Source organism: Homo sapiens, chromosome 7, assembly GCF_000001405.40.
Source record: "Homo sapiens chromosome 7, GRCh38.p14 Primary Assembly".
NCBI classification, from domain to species: Eukaryota; Metazoa; Chordata; class Mammalia; order Primates; family Hominidae; genus Homo; species Homo sapiens.
Window position 1 is genome coordinate 43,058,150 of NC_000007.14, and position 21,266 is coordinate 43,079,415.

A 21,266-nucleotide genomic window follows, 5' to 3' on the forward strand; every position below is an offset into this window, starting at 1 on the left:
GAAAAAGTTGTTTCTCAAGAAGGTCTGTATATGAATGGTCCCAGAGTTCCTAAAAGACTAGAACCTTAACAACTGGGTGTTATCCTTACACTTTCCCGACATCTCATCTGTCTCCTCCCTCTGCCCCTCCCAAAACATTTCAGATAAGAATTACAAGACATCCAACCCCTTCTAGCACCTCATGAAGTCATAGACCTCGTCTCATGGTTAATCCGCCTACCTTATAGCTGGCTGTGGGAAGGAAACTTGGCAGCCCACCCATGTTGACCTTCAGGCTCCTATGCAGACTGCTGTGCCCCTGAAGAACCCTGGAAGGTTATTGGCTCCATTGGAGTAGCCAGCATTTTAGTGACACGTGGGGTTCTTTTGGGACTCAGTGTGTGGGCATTCCTTACCACTCCTTAGTCTGTTCTACAGGGAGATTTCAAGAGTTGAGCTCTCAGTAGAGTTTCACTTCTGTCTTACATTCTTTGATGCAAATGGTCCTCTGAAACCCCCATTCACCTTGAGCTCATCTGCAGATGGGCCATTTACAGATGTACTGAACATACAGCAGAGTAACCCGCCCTTCCCTTTCTCCAACACAGACTCCTGGAAACAGTGAAAATCCATTTCTGACTGAGAGTATACACACGTTTGCCCAAGAATATGGTTTATGAACATGTGATCACTGCAAGCAATTCTCAACCCTTTTTGAGCACATTGGCCTCAGGTGCCACAAGTGCCTGGGTCAGAGGTACCAGGTGACAAAAATCAAGGAACACTGTTAAGAACAAGGACTCCAGAAGAAGGCTGCCTGGGTTCAAGTGCCAACTCCACTACTTATTCACCATATCACCTTTGAGTCAGTTATTTTACTTTTTTTGTGCCTCTGTTTACTAATCTAAAAATTGGAATAATAATGACAACTACCTTATATATTTTTATAACAATAAAATGATTTACCCGGAGGAGCCAAGATGGCCGAATAGGAACAGCTCCGGTCTACAGCTCCCAGCGTGAGCGACGCAGAAGACGGGTGATTTCTGCATTTCTATCTGAGGTACCGGGTTCACCTCACTAGGGAGTGCCAGACAGTGGGCGCAGGTCAGTGGGTGCCCGCACCGTGCGCGAGCCGAAGCAGGGCAAGGCATTGCCTCACTTGGGAAGCACAAGGGGTCAGGGAGTTCCCTTTCCAAGTCAAAGAAAGGGGTGACGGACGCACCTGGAAAATCGGGTCACTCCCACCCGAATATTGCGCTTTTCCGACCGGCTTAAAAAAACGGCGCACCACGAGATTAAATCCTGCACCTGGCTCGGAGGGTCCTACGCCCACGGAGACTTGCTGATTGCTAGCACAGCAGTCTGAGATCAAACTGCAAGGCGGCAGCGAGGCTGGGGGAGGGGCGCCCGCCATTGCCCAGGCTTGCTTAGGTAAACAAAGCAGCCGGGAAGCTCGAACTGGGTGGAGCCCACCACAGCTCAAGGAGGCCTGCCTGCCTCTGTAGGCTCCACCTCTGGGGGCAGGGCACAGACAAACAAAAAGACAGCAGTAACCTCTGTAGACTTAAATGTCCCTGTCTGACAGCTTTGAAGAGAGCAGTGGTTCTCCCAGCATGCAGCTGGAGATCTGAGAACGGGCAGACTGCCTCCTCAAGTGGGTCCCTGACCCCTGACCCCCGAACAGCCTAACTGGGAGGCACCACCCAGCAGGGGCACACTGACACCTCACACGGCAGGGTATTCCAACAGACCTGCAGCTGAGGGTCCTGTCTGTTAGAAGGAAAACTAACAAACAGAAAGGACATCCACACCAAAAACCCATCTGTACATCACCATCATCAAAGACCAAAAGTAGATTAAAACCACAAAGATGGGGAAAAAACAGAACAGAAAAACTGGAAACTCTAAAAAGCAGAGCGCCTCTCCTCCTCCAAAGAAACGCAGTTCCTCACCAGCAATGGAATAAAGCTGGATGGAGAATGACTTTGACGAGCTGAGAGAAGAAGGCTTCAGACGATCAAATTACTCTGAGCTACAGGAGGACATTCAAACCAAAGGCAAAGAAGTTGAAAACTTTGAAAAAAATTTAGAAGAATGTATAACTAGAATAACCAATACAGAGAAGTGCTTAAAGGAGCTGATGGAGCTGAAAACCAAGGCTCGAGAACTACGTGAAGAATGCAGAAGCCTCAGGAGCTGATGCGATCAACTGGAAGAAAGGGTATCAGCGATGGAAGATGAAATGAATGAAATGAAGTGAGAAGGGAAGTTTAGAGAAAAAAGAATAAAAAGAAATGAGCAAAGCCTCCAAGAAATATGGGACTATGTGAAAAGACCAAATCTACGTCTGACTGGTGTACCTGAAAGTGATGGGGAGAATGGAACCAAGTTGGAAAACACTCTGCAGGATATTATCCAGGAGAACTTCCCCAATCTAGCAAGGCAGGCCAATGTTCAGATTCAGGAAATACAGAGAACAACACAAAGATACTCCTCGAGAAGAGCAACTCCAAGACACATAATTGTCAGATTCACCAAAGTTGAAATGAAGGAAAAAATGTTAAGGGCAGCCAGAGAGAAAGGTCGGGTTACCCACAAAGGGAAGCCCATCAGACTAACAGCGGATCTCTCGGCAGAAACCCTACAAGCCAGAAGAGAGTGGGGGCCAATATTCAACATTCTTAAAGAAAAGAATTTTCAACCCAGAATTTCATATCCAGCCAAACTAAGCTTCATAAGTGAAGGAGAAATAAAATACTTTACAGACAAGCAAATGCTGAGAGATTTTGTCACCACCAGGCCTGCCCTAAAAGAGCTCCTGAAGGAAGCACTAAACATGGAAAGGAACAACCAGTACCAGCCGCTGCAAAATCGTGATAAAATGTAAAGACCATCCAGACTAGGAAGAAACTGCATCAACTAACGAGCAAAATAACCAGCTAACATCATAATGACAGGATCAAATTCACACATAACAATATTAACTTTAAATGTCAAGGGACTAAATGCTCCAATTAAAAGACACAGACTGGCAAATTGGATAAAGAGTCAAGACCCATCAGTGTGCTGTATTCAGGAAACCCATCTCACGTGCAGAGACACACATAGGCTCAAAATAAAAGAATGGAGGAAGATCTACCAAGCAAATGGAAAACAAAAAAAGGCAGGGGTTGCAATCCTAGTCTCTGATAAAACAGACTTTCAACCAACAAAGATCAAAAGAGACAAAGAAGGCCATTACATAATGGTAAAGGGATCAATTCAACAAGAAGAGCTATCTATCCTAAATATATATGCACCCAATACAGGAGCACCAAGATTCATAAAGCAAGTCCTGAGTGACCTACAAAGAGACTTCGACTCCCACACATTAATAATGGGAGACTTTAACACCCCACTGTCAACATTAGACAGATCAATGAGACAGAAAGTCAACAAGGATACCCAGGAATTGAACTCAGCTCTGCACCAAGCAGACCTAATAGACATCTACAGAACTCTCCACCCCAAATCAACAGAATATACATTTTTTTCAGCACCACACCACACCTATTCCAAAACTGACCACATAGTTGGAAGTAAAGCTCTCCTCAGCAAATGTAAAAGAACAGAAATTATAACAAACTGTCTCTCAGACCACAGTGCAATCAAACTAGAACTCAGGATTAAGAATCTCACTCAAAACCGCTCAACTACATGGAAACTGAACAACCAGCTCCTGAATGATTACTGGGCGCATAACGAAATGAAGGCAGAAATAAAGATGTTCTTTGAAACCAACGAGAACAAAGACACAACATACCAGAATCTCTGGGACACATTCAAAGCAGTGTGTAGAGGGAAATTTATAGCACTAAATGCCCACAAGAGAAAGCAGGAAAGATCCAAAATTGACACCCTAACATCACAATTAAAAGAACTAGAAAAGCAAGAGCAAACACATTCAAAAGCTAGCAGAAGGCAAGAAATAACTAAAATCAGAGCAGAACTGAAGGAAATAGAGACACAAAAAATCCTTCAAAAAATTAATGAATCCAGGAGCTGGTTTTTTGAAAGGATCAACAAAATTGATAGACCGCTAGCAAGACTAATAAAGAAAAAAAGAGAGAAGAATCAAATAGACGCAATAAAAAATGATAAAGGGGATATCACCACCGATCCCACAGAAATACAAAATACCATCAGAGAATACTATAAACACCTCTACACAAATAAATTAGAAAATCTAGAAGAAATGGATAAATTCCTGGACACATACACTCTCCCAAGATTAAACCAGGAAGAAGTTGAATCTCTGAATAGACCAATAACAGGACCTGAAATTGTGGCAATAATCAATAGCTTACCAACCAAAAAGAGTCCAGGACCAGATGGATTCACAGCCAAATTCTACCAGAGGTACAAGGAGGAACTGGTACCATTCCTTCTGAAATTATTCCAATCAATAGAAAAAGAGGGAATCCTCCCTAACTCTTTTTATGAGGCCAGCATCATTCTGATACCAAAGCCAGGCAGAGACACAACAAAAAAAGAGAATTTTAGACCAATATCCTTGATGAACATTGATGCAAAAATCCTCAATAAAATACTGGCAAAACGAATCCAGCAGCACATCAAAAAGCTTATCCACCATGATCAAGTGGGCTTCATCCCTGGGATGCAAGGCTGGTTCAATATACACAAATCAATAAATGTAATCCAGCATATAAACAGACCCAAAGACAAAAACCACATGATTATCTCAATAGATGCAGAAAAAGCCTTTGACAAAATTCAACAACCCTTCATGCTAAAAACTCTCAATAAATTAGGTATTGATGGGACGTATTTCAAAATAATAAGTGCTATCTATGACAAACCCACAGCCAATATCATACTGAATGGGCAAAAAGTGGAAGCATTCCCTTTGAAAACTGGCACAAGACAGGGATGCCCTCTCTCACCACTCCTATTCAACATAGTGTTGGAAGTTCTGGCCAGGGCAATTAGGCAGGAGAAGGAAATAAAGGGTATTCAATTAGGAAAAGAGGAAGTTAAATTGTCCCTGTTTGCAGACGACATGATTGTATATCTAGAAAACCCCATCGTCTCAGCCCAAAATCTCCTTAAGCTGATAAGCAACTTCAGCAAAGTCTCAGGATACAAAATCAATGTACAAAAATCACAAGCATTCTTATACACCAACAACAGACAAACAGAGAGCCAAATCATGAGTGAACTCCCATTCACAATTGCTTCAAAGAGAATAAAATACCTAGGAATCCAACTTACAAGGGATGTGAAGGACCTCTTCAAGGAGAACTACAAACCACTGCTCAAGGAAATAAAAGAGGATACAAACAAATGGAAGAACATTCCATGCTCATGGGTAGGAAGAATCAATATCGTGAAAATGGCCATACTGCCCAAGGTAATTTACAGATTCAATGCCATCCCCATCAAGCTACCAATGACTTTCTTCACAGAATTGGAAAAAACTACTTTAAAGTTCATATGGAACGCCCTCATCACCAAGTCAATCCTAAGCCAAAAGAACAAAGCTGGAGGCATCACACTACCTGACTTCAAACTATACTACAAGGCTACAGTAACCAAAACAGCATGGTACTGGTACCAAAACAGAGATATAGATCAATGGAACAGAACAGAGCCCTCAGAAATAACGCCGCATATCTACAACTATCTGATCTTTGACAAACCTGAGAAAAACAAGCAATGGGGAAAGGATTCCCTATTGAATAAATGGTGCTGGGAAAACTGGCTAGCCATATGTAGAAAGCTGAAACTGGATCCCTTCCTTACACCTTATACAAAAATCAATTCAAGATGGATTAAAGACTTAAACGTTAGACCTAAAACCATAAAAACCCTAGAAGAAAACCTAGGCATTACCATTCAGGACATAGGCATGGGCAAGGACTTCATGTCTAAAACACCAAAAGCAATGGCAACAAAAGCCAAAATTGACAAATGGGATCTAATTAAACTAAAGAGCTTCTGCACAGCAAAACAAACTACCATCAGAGTGAACAGGCAACCTACAAAATGGGAGAAAATTTTCGCAACCTACTCATCTGACAAAGGGCTAATATCCAGAATCTACAATGAACTCAAACAAATTTATAAGAAAAAAACAAACAACCCCATCAAAAAGTGGGCGAAGGACATGAACAGACACTTCTCAAAAGAAGACATTTATGCAGCCAAAAAACACATGAAAAAATGCTCATCATCACTGGCCATCAGAGAAATGCAAATCAAAACCACAATGAGATACCATCTCACACCAGTTAGAATGGCAATCATTAAAAAGTCAGGAAACAACAGGTGCTGGAGAGGATGTGGAGAAATAGGAACACTTTTACACTGTTGGTGGGACTGTAAACTAGTTCAACCATTGTGGAAGTCAGTGTGGCGATTCCTCAGGGATCTAGAACTGGAAATACCATTTGACCCAGCCATCCCATTACTGGGTATATACCCAAAGGACTATGAATCATGCTGCTATAAAGACACATGCACACGTATGTTTATTGTGGCATTATTCACAATAGCAAAGACTTGGAACCAACCCAAATGCCCAACAATGATAGACTGGATTAAGAAAATGTGGCACATATACACCATGGAATACTATGCAGCCATAAAAATGATGAGTTCATGTCCTTTGTAGGGACATGGATGAAATTGGAAATCATCATTCTCAGTAAACTATCGCAAAAACAAAAAACCAAACACCGCATATTCTCACTCATAGGTGGGAATTGAACGATGAGATCACATGGACACAGGAAGGGGAATATCACACTCTAGGGACTGTTGTGGGGTAGGGGGAGGGGGGAGGGATAGCATTGGGCGATATACCTAATGCTAGATGACGAGTTAGTGGGTGCAGCACACCAGCATGGCACATGTATACATATGTAACTAACCTGCGCAATGTGCACATGTACCCTAAAACTTAAAGTATAATAAAAAATAAAAATAAAAATAAAAAAATAAAAAAAAGAAAGAAGAAAGAAAGAAAAGATAAGAAAGAGAGAGAGAGAGGGAAGGAAGGAGGGAAGGAGGGAGGGAGGGAAGGCTTCAGAATATAAGCATCTAACATGCAGATTAGGGAAAAGGAAGATCTGGCTACTATGTCCAAAACCAAAAGTAAAAACAAACCACCTATGAGAGAAGTAGAAGCAAGAAGCTTTAGAAAGTCAAATTTGCTTGCTAAATGGACTGAGGTCTGGGGATTTTTCTGAAATGTCAGTTCTTTTAGACTCCCATGCCTCAGGAGTGAGATAATACAATAATGTAAACGGTCTTGTTTGTTGGAAGTTGGTACATTTTGGGCTTCTACTGATCTAAGATGACCTAGGTTCATTATGTCTGTCTTCTAAGATGTGATAAAAGAATGAAAACTTTATAAATGTTTGCTATATTATTCTTATGGTAATTAATCCATGCCATTAAATAATCACCGATGGCACACCATTCAGGGCTGTACAGACGATATTGAAATAGCCATTTGGCTATTTGGATTTCTAAAAGTTTGATTGAAGCAGAAATTTACTGTTATATTTTGGCCAAATACGGAGGTGGAAGCTGAATTTCAGAACATCCCTATAAAATGACAAATTTCTGCCAAGATGAATAAAGAAAAGAGAAAAAAAAGGAAGAGAGGGAGAGAGATGCACAAATAAATAAATTAGGAATGAAAGATAAGAGGTGAAAATACCATGAACAACTTAATGCCAACACAATTTAAAATGTGTACAAAATAAAATCCTAGGCAGGGCACAGTGGCTCGCACCTGTAATCCCAGCACTTAGGGAGGCCAAGGTGGGCAGATCACTTGAGCCCAGGAGTTCAAGAGTAGCCTTGGCAACACAGGGAGACCGTATCTCTACAAATAAAAATAATTGGCCAACCATGGTGGTGAATGCCCGTGGTCCCAGCTACTCGAGAGACTGAGGCAGGAGGATAGGCTGAGGCCAGAAGGTCAAGGCCGCAGTGAGCCACTGCACTCACTCAATGCAGAGTACCACTGCACTCCAGCCTGGGTGACAGAGTAAGATGCTGTCTCAAAAATAAAAAAAATAAAAATAAAATTTGAGAATAATATAGCTTATAAAAAACCTAACTCAGGGTGAAATAGCTTGACTGCTTCTCTAACCATTAGAGAAACCTATAGTGTTCCCACAAAAACATCAAGCTCAGATGGTTTTACAGTCAAGTTCTAGGAAATTTTCAAAGAACAGATCTTTCCAATATTATGCAAACTTTTTTCAGGAAATGTAAAAGAGAGAACACTTTCTATTTTAATACCAATATCAGAAAATGGTACTGTGAGAAAGGAAAAAATTAATTATCCATAAATGAGATTTAAAAATCCTAAACAACATAATAGTAAATATGATCTAGTCATGTACAAGAATAGATAATACAACACAGCCAAGAGAGATAAACAAACCCCAGAAATGCAAAGATGGATAAACATTAAAGCAATCTATGAATATAGTTCTCCTCAAGAAGAACAAAATTTCAGAAAATGTAATCATTTCAATACATTTTTTAAAAGCTTTTGAAAAATTCAGCACTTGTACCTGATAAAAAATTTGGCAAATCATGAATATAAGTGTATTATTTCCTTTTTTTTTTTTTTTTTTTTTTTTTTGAGACAGTCTCGCTGTTTTGCCCAGGCTGGAGTGCAGTTGTGCAATCTCGGCTCACTGCAACCTCCACCCCCTGGGTTCAGGCAATTCTCCTGCCTTAGCCTCCCGAGTAGCTGGGATTATAGGCACATACCACCACACCTAGCTAATTTTTGCATCTTTAGTAGAGACGGGTTTTTGCCATGTTGACCAAGCTGGTATTTCCTTAACATGTTAAATGATGTCCACAAAAAAACTTACAGGAAATAATAAATATTATTAATGATTTAACATTAGAAGTCTTCCCTTTAAAGCCAGTAATAAAACTAGGATATGTACTGTGGCCATAATAGATATCCTGTATCCCTCATTATACTGGAGATCTTATTCAGCAGAGTAAGAGGAAAGAAAGAAGAAAGAGAGACAAAGGCATAAGGAATAGAAAAGAATAAACAAAACTGTCATTATTTGTATATAATATGATTGTCCATATAGAAAATCTCAAAGAATCTGCATGCAAATCATGATAAATGTGAGAGTATAGCAAGGTATCCAGACGTAAGCTTATTAGATTTAAGTCAATTGCTATTTTTTTAAGAGACAGGATCTCGTTCTTGTCACCAAGACTGGAATGCAGTGGTGTGATCAGGGCTCACTGCAGCCTCGACCTCCCAGGCTCAGGTGATCCTCCTGCCTCAGCATCCTGAGTAGCTGGGACTACAGTCACACACCACCATGCCAGGCTAAGTTTTGCAATTTTTGTAGAAATGAGGTTTCACCATGTAGACAAGGCTGATCTTGAACTCCTGGGCTCAAGGGATCCACCAGCCTAGGCCTCCCAAAGTGCTGGGATTACAGGCATTGGACACCACTCCCAGCTGTCAACTGCACTTTTGTACACCAGTCAGAAAGGACTGCTTGACATGTGTTGGTGCTTCGCAATCTTTGAAGAGGGGACCCAGAGAATAGGGCTTAGGTTTCTGAGAAACAGAAATTACCAAGGTAATGATTATACCTTTAAGGTGATATGATTAAGTCGATTAAATCGGGTCTGAGAATGGAAAAAAAGAGCTGGAAACTGGAACCAATTATTCCAGAACCAAATGTGCCTGCCACGGTAAAAATCCATTGCTTGAGTGAACACAAGGCTCTTCTCCCTTCCTGCCTTCCATTCTTCCCCAGCATCCGTCATTATGGAACCTAAAAGGAAGCCATTTGGCAGAAATACAGTTTGCAGAGACTTAGTCCAGTATCCATGGCAGGGTATAGAAGGGTGGGCTTGAAACAAGAGACAACAGTTTAATAATCCAGCCATATGTATATAGAATATTTTAATGTTTAATATTTAGATTTTTTTTTTTTTTTAGAGATGGGTCTCACTTTGTTGGCCAGGCTAGATTCCAACTCCTGGGCTTAACCCATCCTCCTGCCTCAGCCTCCCGAATAGGTGGGACTACAGGCATGTGCCACCACACCTGGCTCTAAAATATTTTTAATATTTAATTATTAAATGACATTTAAAAAGTCTTAACAGGAGAAATATACTGTTTTCATGGATAAGATGCCACATTCCAAAAATTTATCTATATTCAACACAGTTTCAATCAAAATTCCCACAGGTTTATTTTTGGTGAAACTTGTCAAAATAGGATTTTAAAATTTATACAGAGAAGCAAAACCCCAAGAAGAGTGAAGTCATTTATGAGGAAAAATAACAAAATATAAAATTACTGTTTTGCAAATGTTTCTAAGTTACAGTAAAATTTGTTCAGCTCTGAGTGTTGACAAATGTATGCAGCCATATAATCCTCCCCACAATCAAGTTATAAATTATTTCTGTGACCTCCTCCCTCAAATATCCTCGTGTCTTCTTGTGGCCAATCCCTTTCCCCACTCCTGTCCCCAGCAACCTCTGATCTTCCTTCTGTCTCTACAGTTTTAAGTTTTTGAAAATGGTAAGTTTTAAAATATGTTTTTAATGCAGAATTAAACATACTGACCAAGGCAACAAAATAATGAACCCAGAAACAAACAAATACATAGAAGGAGACTTGATATGTGACAGTGGTGCAATTGCCCATCAGTGGGAGGAGGATAGATTTGTCAATAAATGGTGCAGGGGTAATTGGCTTATCCACATGGAAAAAAATGCAATTGAATTTCTCTCTCATACCATACAGAAAATTTAATGGATTAGTGACTTAAAAGGTATATAAAAGTCATACTTAAACACTTGGTGGAAAATATAGGACACTATCTTTCTGACTTTAAGAAATTTTTTCTTAAATAAGACCCAAAAGCCACCAACATAAAAGTTAAGAAACTAAAATTAAGACTTACTGTTCTCCAAAAGACACCATAGTGAAAACAAAAAGATAAGCCATCATCTGAGAGAACTTACAACAAAGACTAATATCCAGAAATATAAAAATTCTTATGATTTAATCATAAAAGACAATCCACTGGGAAAAGGAGTAAAACATGAACAGGCATTCTATAGAAAACAAAACAAAAATGACTGGTAGATGATAGGTAGATAGTTGGATGGATGGATAGATAGATAGATAGAGTGATAGGGAAGTATGCTTAGTGGATGCTTAGTAGTCATGGAAATTCAAAACGAGAACATAATTTTGTTAAATGGGTAAATACATAAGAACTCTAACAATACCAAGTGTCAGAATGCAAAAGAAGAAAATGCACGCTGTCTATGGGAGCGTCAACTTGGCATTACTTGAAAAAGTTAAATACTTGAGTTTCCTGTGATCCAGAAATCTCATTCTCAAGTATATTTTCATGAATATGTGTTCCAGAAGTCATATATACAAATATACTCATAGTAGCATTATTTGGTATTTCAAAATATTGGAAAAAACCTGATATTGATTGATGAGAGAATGAATTATTATTTAATGTAGAATATTTATTTAGTATGCAAAATACTCATTTCACTAGTGTATAATAAATTGTAGCTAAATGGAACAAAATGGATGAATCTTAGAAGTAATTATTCAGTTTAAAATGGTAAATAAATAAAATCAAATTACAGAGAACTAAATAAAGTATTGTGCCTTTTTCTAAGACTCAAGCACAAGTAAAGGGGAACAACATAATGTTTAAAGATCTACGCATACATAAAAGCTATGGATTTCTGTGCTATGGCTACCTCTGGTGCGGCAGGTGGTGGGGTTGTAAGACTCAGGTAACTCCAGTGAGACTAGGAAGATCTGAGTTCACAATTTGAGTGCTAGATTCACAGGTATTAATTTTGTTATTATGCTTATTACTTAAGAAAATATTACACAGATTCAACTATTATATGATAAAAGCAAGGCCATAAATAAGAAGATTTATTCTTTCTCAAAAGGGTGCTGGACTTTAAAAAATATTTACTAATTTTTGGTTCTACAATATCTTGAAAAAATATTAAATGCTTGGAAATTTAAATTTGCATTGCATGAAGATTTTCTTGTGTAAGCAGTCAATAATGTTACCTCTGAAGCTGTCAGTTGCACACCAGGGTGGGTATGAATTTATAGAAGTGGCTTCCTTTTGAAATTGTATTACAGTGTGCTCTGAAAGCTTCAGAGGCTACAGGGAGAAGGTGCCTTCTTTTTGATAGAGTATTAAATTTTCTGTGTTAAAACTATGGAAAACAATCTTCTTCTACATTCTCTTTTTGAAATTATTGATGCTTTGGGAACATAATTACCATTTCCCTTGTACATCCCATTTCTTAAAATAAAATCTTTTACAATAAAGATTTACCTGTTAGCCCAAATCTGTCAAAACCTAGTGTAATATTCTTTTTACATTCCCATAGTAAATACCAGCATACAAATTCATTTGAGTGTCATGATTATTCCACGGATCAATGAGTGTAACAGATTGTGTGAAGTTGGTATAAACTGCATTACCATTGAGGGTTTCTTTTTTAACATCTTCCACTTGGACAACGAAAGAAAAAAATAGCTCCATTATCTGAAATAAAATATAACATAGAATATAATTAAGATGATTATTAATGCTTTTTATTTACATATGTTTGACTTTCAAGCCATCTGGCATCCCAGCTCTCTGCTTTATTTTTCTTTTGCCCATATTTCCTTCCTTACTTATTGTTAACGTAGCTTTATCTTATCTATTGGTATTTGTGAATTTCCTTAAGTCTGTTTTAAGATTTCAGGGGTAAATGAATAAAATAACTGATAAAATAGGCATTGTTAACAGAAAAACCAGCTCTGTAAAATATTTTAAAGAGGTTTATTCTGAGCCAATATGAGTGACCATGGCGGGGGAACACAGTCTCAAGAGGTCCTGAGAAAGTGGGTTTTACTTTTTCACTTTTTTCAGTTGCACACCAGGGTGGGTATGAATTTATAAAAGTGGCTTCCTTTTGAAATTGTATCACAGTGTGCTCTGAAAGCTGCAGAGGGCTACAGGGAGAAGGTGCCTTGTTTGTGATAGAGTATTAAACTTTCTATGCTAAAACTATGGAAAGCAATCTTCCCCTGCATTCTCTTTTTGAAATTATTGATGCTTTGGGAACATAATTACCATTTCCCTTGCACATCCCATTTCTTAAAATAAGATGTTTTTACAATAAAGATTTAAAATATTGAGGGAGCTGGGTTGCAGTTGAGTATTATACCTTTCGGGGAGGCAAGAGTTACAGGCAAAGACATCAATATTTTGCAGGTCTGTTCAGCTAAAGACAGGGTCCTTGTCCGTCCCCGGGCCATGAAAATTTAGGCTCAAAGACGGTTTGAAGGGTGGGTAAGACAAAGTTTTATTCGGTGAAAAGTGGGGAGAAAAAGGGGGAAACAGGGATCCTCAACAAGTCAGAGTCCCTGCTAGAGTGCTTGCCGCCAGCGGCTTGAATTCCAGGTTCCACACAGAAGAGGAGGAGCTGGCTCCTCCCTGCTGCAAAGGATGTGAACTATTGTGGCTCCATCCCAGTGTGCAGGCCAGCTGGAGTTTCTCTGGGGACCCCCTCCCACCTGGCTGTCTCATTCCCCGCTCTAGAGAGGTACATCTAACTGCCATTAGAATAAGGATAAGGAAGAAGAGCGATCTTAACTGCCTCCTGCTGACAGGGGGCGCTGTTTTGGGGGAAGCCGCAGTCAGAGCTCCCTCAGAGGCCTATTTAAGGGTTCCCAGCAGAAAGGGTCGTCATCAGAGGCTCCTGTTGCATGACTGACTGTAGTTTGATGGCCTGAAGGCAAGAATAGACAAACCAGCTTATTAGAAAACATGTATCAAAACAAAACAAGGAGAGGGGTAAGAACAGCTCAAAAATTCCAAGGCCTTTTACCAGTTTGCACAAGGCCAAAAGCCCAACTGGTTAAGAAAAAACTTTACGCTTTTGCCAGCATGTCAGTCTTCTGGGTTCCCTTCCCCTGAGCCCATTCCTAAGCCAGCCAGGTTAAGGTTTGGGAAATTAATTCTTTCCAGTTTGGAGGATGTTTCTGAGGGGAGTGTCCCATAGTATGAAGACACAATTACCTATCAGTGAAGAGGACAGAGGAGGAGAAAGGAAAAAAAGAAGGTGTTTTTTTTTTTTAAAAGGAGTCCTAGAGGTTCAGGATGCATTCAAAAGGGGTACAGACTGAAGGCGAATGGCTACCCATCTAGAAAGAGGGGGGCAGGCATCCCTGGTTCCCTTCTCTTCCTAGAAGATACCCAAGGTATTGTGGGACAATCAAAGATGGGAGAGACCGAACAGAGTGAGTCCAGGAAAGGTCTTTATTAAAAGGTGATCACCTGGCTCAGTAGGACTAGCGTCCAGGAAAGTCTGAGCCCCGGACAAAGAAAACAGCCACTTTTTAAGCAGCCAGTGGCCGGGAACTATGTGATGCAGGAAGTGTACTTACAGAAGTGAGAGCAAAGGCAGTTGATCAGTCTTTTACATTTATTTATATTACATGTTTCACATCTTTGGGAAACCATTAACTGTATAAACCATTTCTGTGTCAACCTTGTAACTTTGCAGCTGTGCTAGGGAGGTGAAGCAGGAACTCGCTGAGCCTCAAGGAATGTGAAACTAGCAAGTACAGATAAGGCTCGCTGAGCACAAAAGGAAAAACAGGCAGTTAGTATTTTTCTCTAACTTACACTACGGGGTGGGGCTACACTACAGTTAGCTTTGGAAGGAAAAAGTAAACATTTTTGGTTGTCTTTGATTATACTTGTAAAATTCATAAATTCCTTCTTCAGAGGTACATGAGGGAGAGAGGGAAAAGCATCCTCTTTCCTCTTCCATCTTTGCATCCCCAAGTCCCAGCAACCTTGGCAGGTGCCACCTTGGGTGGAAGAGCGGCTTGCACCCATGAAGCAGGGGGCCTAGTGGGTGAGAATCATCCGCTCTTATCCACATATGCCCTATCTCCCCTGCTGCCAGCAGCCTTGGATTCCCTAGACCTCATTTATGCCACGGATATTAATGTGGTCTTTATCCATGAAACAGGAAGCCTGGGGTTGGCTTAATCGGCAGGAATCAGCCACGCTTACCTGTGTTGTGCCTTTTAATTTCTGTTATTGTCTGCCTCTGGATCCCTCAGATCCAGTTTTCTTTCCTAGGGCTTTGACCCGATGCTTGGAATTGAGTTTGGGACAAAAATGTGTCTCAGCGGGGGTTGCATGGACTTCTTATCATAAGCCGAATGCAAAAGTGAAGCTGTGGAACTGAGTCCTCCTCCAACAAGAGAGAAAAGGATGTCTTGTGACACACCCAGATAACTGGTAGCTATATTTATGCTTGACAGAATTTGGGTGCATGGTGCTTGGCTTTTGTTAGCTCCCTTGGTCTTACTTTCCCAAAAGGAAACCTCCGAGTGATGGGCATCCTATTTATTCCATTACCTGGCAGGATTTGTAGGATAATTGCTCAGAACTAGAATATTGATCTGAATTTCTACATTACCTATCCCCTTTGTTCTTTCTGAGCTGCAGCCAGGGATTGCTGGTTGGTTCATAGGAGCAAGCAGGGTTAGTCTAAAATGTAGGCAAAAACTTAAAAACAACGAATGAGTTTAGAATTTAATGACAAATGTTGACCCAGCAATCCCATTACTAGGTAAATACCCCAAGGATTATGAATCATTTTACTATAAAGATACATGCACATGTATGTTTATTGCGGCACTATTCACAATAGCAAAGACTTGGAACCAACCTAAATGTCCATCAACGATAGACTGGATAAAGAAAATGTGGCACATATACACCATGGAATACTATGCAGCCATAAAAAAGGATAAGTTCATGTCCTTTGCAGGGACATGGATGAAGCTGGAAACCATCATTCTCAGCAAACTAACACAAGGGAAGAAAACCAAACACCGCATGTTCTCACTCATAGGTGGGAACTGAACAATGAGAACACATGGACACAGGGAGGGGAATATCACACACCAGGGACTGTCAGGGGGTGCGGGCTAGGGGAGGGATAGCATTAGGAGAAATACCTAATGTAGGTGACAGGTTGATGGGTGCAGAAAATCACCATGGCACATGTATACCTATGTAACAAACCTGCATGTTCTGCACATGTACCCCAGAACTTAAAGTATAATAAAAAAAGAATTTAATGACAAATGTATAAGTTTTGAAACATGATTTCTCTCTCCAGTCCTCATTTTTGTTAAAAAAAAATCATCATAGGACTGAATGGTTTACAAAATAAATTTTAGTCTTATACTTGGCCTGATTATTTGCATAAAGTGCAGCAAGAATAATTCTTTCTAATTAGGCCTTTTAGATTGGCTTTGATGGAAGTTTGTTCCACAAGGAATCTCAGATAAGACCTTTTAAAACTGAGCCCAACCATGGGTTTGTATCCTCAAAACCCTGTGAGTTGGGTGATCCTTTCCTCTTAAGGTCCCATAATAAACTTGGAGCTCCTGGACCTGTTAGAAAGTGACATTCTTTACTGACCACAGGTCAAGAACCCTGTACACGGACTGCATAGACAAGGGTATGAGACCAGTTTCCTCACTGGGCTTTTATTGGCTCTGCAAGTCAAAATTGACTCCTTAAAGGGAAGCATACCCTTCCAGTCAAATCCTTGGTAAAATAACGACTTTCTCCAATTGTGTTCTGTTGCAAAAGAAAAATGGATTCTTATTGCACTGATGCAAACAATGATATTGCCATAAGAATATTCACAAATAGTTTCCAAATTCTAGAGGATTCAGGCAGAGAGAAACAAACGTGCTCCAAATTTTTATCACAGGAGTGTATAACTTACTTATTAAAGGCTGTAAATAGTTCAAAATAAGTTTCCTTGACTCTGAAAAAATAAAACAAGGATCAGAAATATTCCAAGCAAAGGTCAAAAAGATTTGCTTCAGCTTCCTGAGTTCAGTCCAGTTAGTTAATTCTTGTTTTGCTTGCTATTCATGAACATTTCAGCTCTTTATGAGTCCTATACATTTTCCTTTATTCCAGTGATACAACCTCTAAAGTTATCAGAAGCCTGCATTTGAGAGCACCTGTTAAAGTTCTATAGCTCATTATAAACCATTTTTGAAAAGGATTAAAACAAGACAACAATTGTCTGTGAATAGCAAAATGTCCAGGATAGTTACTGTTAGAAACAACGATTGACAAAGAAGTTTGGTTATTTCCACGGTTTACAATAACCTAACATAACAACCCTAATTACGATGGATAGCATATACTTGCACATTAGAATTTTAGATAATCCCATACAATTTTGGAACATATATTAGCATTATTCACCAAAATATAACCTAAAGAAGATTGAGCATCATTTTGGCAATCCCATGTACCTAAACATGTTAAATAATTCCTTTTACCTCTTTTCTGGACACTTCATGGGCCCTCTGAAGTATTCAAAAAGCCAGGTGTCAGGAAAGACAATTTTAAAACTTAAGGTCGATTTTGGGCAGCCTTTTAAATATGTTTAAAACACTTGATATTATGAAATAGAATTCCAGATTACCATAAGTTATTTATTTTGCCAAAAAGATGACTTCGAAATTTTAAATAATCAAAAATCTTTTATAATCCTTTAAAAATTTTGCCAAAGAGCAGATTAACGCCTTAGGAAACCTTGTTATGCTTTTATTTCAATGCTCAATTTACAGAAAAAACCATATAATACCCTTTTTTGAATTTAGTCAATACGTTCACACACAGAACCTCTTCTGCAAGATTGATTTCCGTAATTCTTCTACCCCTTCTTTGAACCTTCAGCTTTTTCCTGATTTAACTCAAAAAATCCTTTAATCCTTTAATCCTTAAAAACTTTAGGCAAAAGTTTACATTTCCATGCCTTCTTATAACCTTTTACTAAAAAATACATTTTACTGTTCTTACACACCTTGCATGCAAATCTATTTCTAGTAGTTTCAATTAACTCCTAGCTATTTTTAACTTTAAGGTAAAACTTGGTAAGTTGCTTTAATTGTGTGCTAACTGCAGCTAAGCTTTGCCCTCTTAGTTAAGGACGCGGTTAGTTCCTTACGTCCCCAGGTCTTACCAGTTGTGAAGCCAGAAAGTCAAATAGTTCTCAAAACCCAGAAGTCAGTTTGCAACCTCAAAACACTTAGCAAACCTTGCATCTTGAGGGACTAAGTGGCTAAGTTGGCTGGACTTCCTGGGTCCCTAGGGACTTCCCTAAGGGGATTTTTTCCCCTAAGCCAAAATAAGTCACAGCTGCAAGCTAAGGGCTTGAAACGTCAACCAATCAAAGGGGACTTTCCCCTAAGCCAAAATGAGTCACAGCTGCAAGCTAAGGAATTGAAACTTCAACCAATCATATAGGGCGTTTAAGCTCTAGCTGCAGCCTGATGTTTTTAACCAATCAGGCCTGCCAACCCACAAGTGGATAGAACATAAGCTAATTCTATAGGACAGAAAAAGGAAAAGAGGAGGGGTCATAATGGGATATAAGCATAAGACACCCAAGCCAAAATCGGCAACCTTTCCGGGTCCCCTTCCACCACGTGGAAGCTTTATTTTCGCTTTAATAAGTCTTGCTACCGCACACTCATTGGGTCTGTGCGTTTCTCTAATCAAGCTGTAACACTCGCCGCTGCGGTCCACAGCTTCATTCCTTGAAGCCCGTGAGACCACGAACGCTTCAATCGAGAAAAACCTTTGATCTGAAGAAGACTTCTTGTCTCACATCTGACCTGCATTTAACCAATAATCTTTAAGGCTGTTTTTATTTCTCAAAGATTAAAGTCACGTGAACTGAAAGGTACCACAGCTTTTAACTTTCCTTAAAAAAATACTTGATCCAAGCACTTGTTTTTCTTTAGGGCAAATTAAGTAGAGCTCTTTTTACAGACGTTACACACAATACACACACAGAGAGACAGAAGAAAACCCAGTCTTCACAAGATCCTTTTTCACAAGCAAAACTTTACAGAGTACAAACAGTGATAGTTGGGGGACCTGGCCTAGTAAAAAAAGTCTTCCAAAAGAAAAAAAAAAACAACTTTAAAAGTTAACTGCTGACGGGGTAGAGAAGTGGAAGCAAAAAACAGTTTTTAAATGCCTGGAGAAGAACCTCTTATTCTTATGCAACTGGTTCCTCCAGCAGGGAAAAAAGCTTAAGCTTAATTACTGTCCAATAGAGTTAAACCCCTTGGCCAGGGAAGGGGAAGACTGCAGCAGCAGTGCGTGGCTGGGAACCAGCCAGCCAGCTGTGCCGGACCCTTGGGCCATGCGTCCTAGGCCCAGCAGGGAACAGGCAGGGAATAGCGGGTGGAGGGGAGCTGCTGCTCACGGGTCCCTCCCAAAAAAGGAAAGAAAAGGCCATGAAAAGGCCCGGGAGTGACGGGGCGGGGTGGAGGGAGCGAAATGGTTTCCTCCATCCTCAGAAGTGTGAGGATGAAAAGGCTCAGAAGCAACAGTGAGAGTTTTTGAGTCCCCATTTCACTCACTGCTTCTCAAGCCCCACACTGGGAGCCAAAAATGTTACAGGACTTTTTTAGTTCAGCTAAAGACAGGGTCCTTGTCCGTCCCATAGCTATGAAAACTTAGTCTCATAGACAGTTTGAAGGGTGAGTAAGACAGGGTTTTATTGGGTGAAAAGGGAAAAAACAGGGGAAACAGGGATCCTCTACAAGGTCAGAGTCCCTGCTAGAGAGCTTCCGGCCGGCAGCTTGAATTGCAGGTTCCACACAGGAAGAGGAGGAGCCAACTCCACCCCGCTGCAAAGGGTGCAGACTTCTGTGGCTCCGCCCCAGTGTGCAGGCCAGTTGGAGTTTCTCTGGGAACCCCATCCTCCCTGGCTGTCTCAAATACATGGAAGATATACACTGATTCAGCCCAAAAAGGTGGGATATCTTCAAGTAGGGGCTTCCAGGTTATAGATAGATGCAGAGATTCTTCAATTTGCAAATGGTTAAAGGAAGAATACTCTGTAAAAATTCGGAGTCAGCAGAAAGGAATGTTTAAGATAAGAAATTCTGTTAACATGGGTCAGAGTGACGTATAGGGGTGTGTGACTTAACCATTGTCTGGCATGGCCTTAGGTTTTGTTTATAATTTGGTGTCTTATTGTCACAAACAGTTAATGTTATGTTCTTTTTGTTGTTGTTGTTAATGTTATGATCTCTATTTTAGCATTAATGCCAGTCAGTTGTGCCTAAACTCCAAAAGGGAGGGGGTGTAACAAGGCGTGTTCCACCTCCCTTCCCGTCATGTCTGGGGATTCAATTTTTAAAGTTTCTCTGGGGTACTCTTGGCCAAGAGGGGGTCCGTTCAGTCAGTATGGAGCTTGGGATTTTATTTTTAGTTTACACTATATACCTATACCTATATCAATATATATCTTTAAAATCAGAAACTAAAAGTATTTAAAGTGGGCAATTATTTCAGCTAAGGAAAGGGGATTCCTGCTCATTCTTGGATCAGAGTGGGAATAAATTCCCAGGTGTGGTTGAAGTAAATGGGATGGCAAACCAGCCAACCCATGGGACCCTAGACTGACTGGTGTATAAAATGATGATACAACCCCATCAAAATATTGATGTACCTGCATAAATGCATGGCTGCAAACTTTCACAAAAATGAACATAGGAAAATATAAATGTGTATCATGTACATATTTTTTCATTTTCTGTGTATTACAACGTTTTGACATCTTAAAATACTCTTTCTGAGTACAGACTGACTCTCCTGGGGCTAGCCAGTTCCTGGAGGTAACAGAGAACTTAGCTAGGAGCATGCCTTTGATATGCAAACTAACCAGCCGGAGCCATACCTCCTCTTCCATCCGAGGAGGAGGCAACATTATCTGCCTTATTACCCCAGGCCAGGTTCCGGGCAACTAGGGACCACCTTTTTGGTTTAGAGCCCACCGAAATGATTCAAACTAGCCAACTCTACACTGCCTCCCCTGCCTTGCCTTTCCGTTTCTGCAAAATCCAGAATAAAAATACTGGCTTTGACTTTCCTCGGCCAGTTGACCAAAACCCGGCACTTCCCCTGTGACCCTGATGATTTGCTGTGACCCCTGCTCTAGAACTTGGGAATATAACATACTTTGTTCTCTTGTGCCTCTCCTGTGTTCCCTCTTGTGGCTGCACCTGACTGACCATCACCTAAAAGAGGACAGAACAAAACACTTGACAGCTAGTGATAACCTTGAAAAAACAGAACTCA

At 40.2% G+C, this 21,266-nt stretch overlaps 1 long non-coding RNA gene across 1 annotated transcript, besides 4 other annotated features; it reads right to left on the reverse strand.

Moving 5' to 3' along the window:
- Window positions 1-295: a silencer, noted in NCBI's record as "tiled region #4044; HepG2 Repressive non-DNase unmatched - State 24:Quies". NCBI's record gives its function as "represses a minimal TATA promoter and a strong SV40 promoter by Sharpr-MPRA in HepG2 cells {active_cell/tissue: HepG2}" and the evidence as "EXISTENCE:reporter gene assay evidence [ECO:0000049][PMID:27701403]".
- Window positions 1,237-1,837: an enhancer, noted in NCBI's record as "OCT4-NANOG-H3K27ac-H3K4me1 hESC enhancer chr7:43098985-43099585 (GRCh37/hg19 assembly coordinates)". NCBI's record gives its function as "activates a minimal SCP1, AML or CMV promoter by ChIP-STARR-seq in naive H9 embryonic stem cells {active_cell/tissue: H9 hESC(naive)}" and the evidence as "EXISTENCE:reporter gene assay evidence [ECO:0000049][PMID:30033119]".
- Window positions 10,652-18,230, reverse strand: LOC107986790 (uncharacterized). The gene is made up of 3 exons (XR_001745189.2): window positions 18,130-18,230; window positions 13,705-13,839; window positions 10,652-12,605 (listed from the first exon to the last, which is right to left on the reverse strand). It is a non-coding gene; the product is annotated as an uncharacterized LOC107986790 (long non-coding RNA).
- Window positions 15,181-15,475: a silencer, noted in NCBI's record as "tiled region #5110; HepG2 Repressive non-DNase unmatched - State 21:Repr, and K562 Repressive DNase matched - State 8:EnhW". NCBI's record gives its function as "represses a minimal TATA promoter and a strong SV40 promoter by Sharpr-MPRA in HepG2 and K562 cells {active_cell/tissue: HepG2 | K562}" and the evidence as "EXISTENCE:reporter gene assay evidence [ECO:0000049][PMID:27701403]".
- Window positions 19,261-20,053: an enhancer, noted in NCBI's record as "NANOG-H3K27ac-H3K4me1 hESC enhancer chr7:43117009-43117801 (GRCh37/hg19 assembly coordinates)". NCBI's record gives its function as "activates a minimal SCP1, AML or CMV promoter by ChIP-STARR-seq in primed H9 embryonic stem cells {active_cell/tissue: H9 hESC(primed)}" and the evidence as "EXISTENCE:reporter gene assay evidence [ECO:0000049][PMID:30033119]".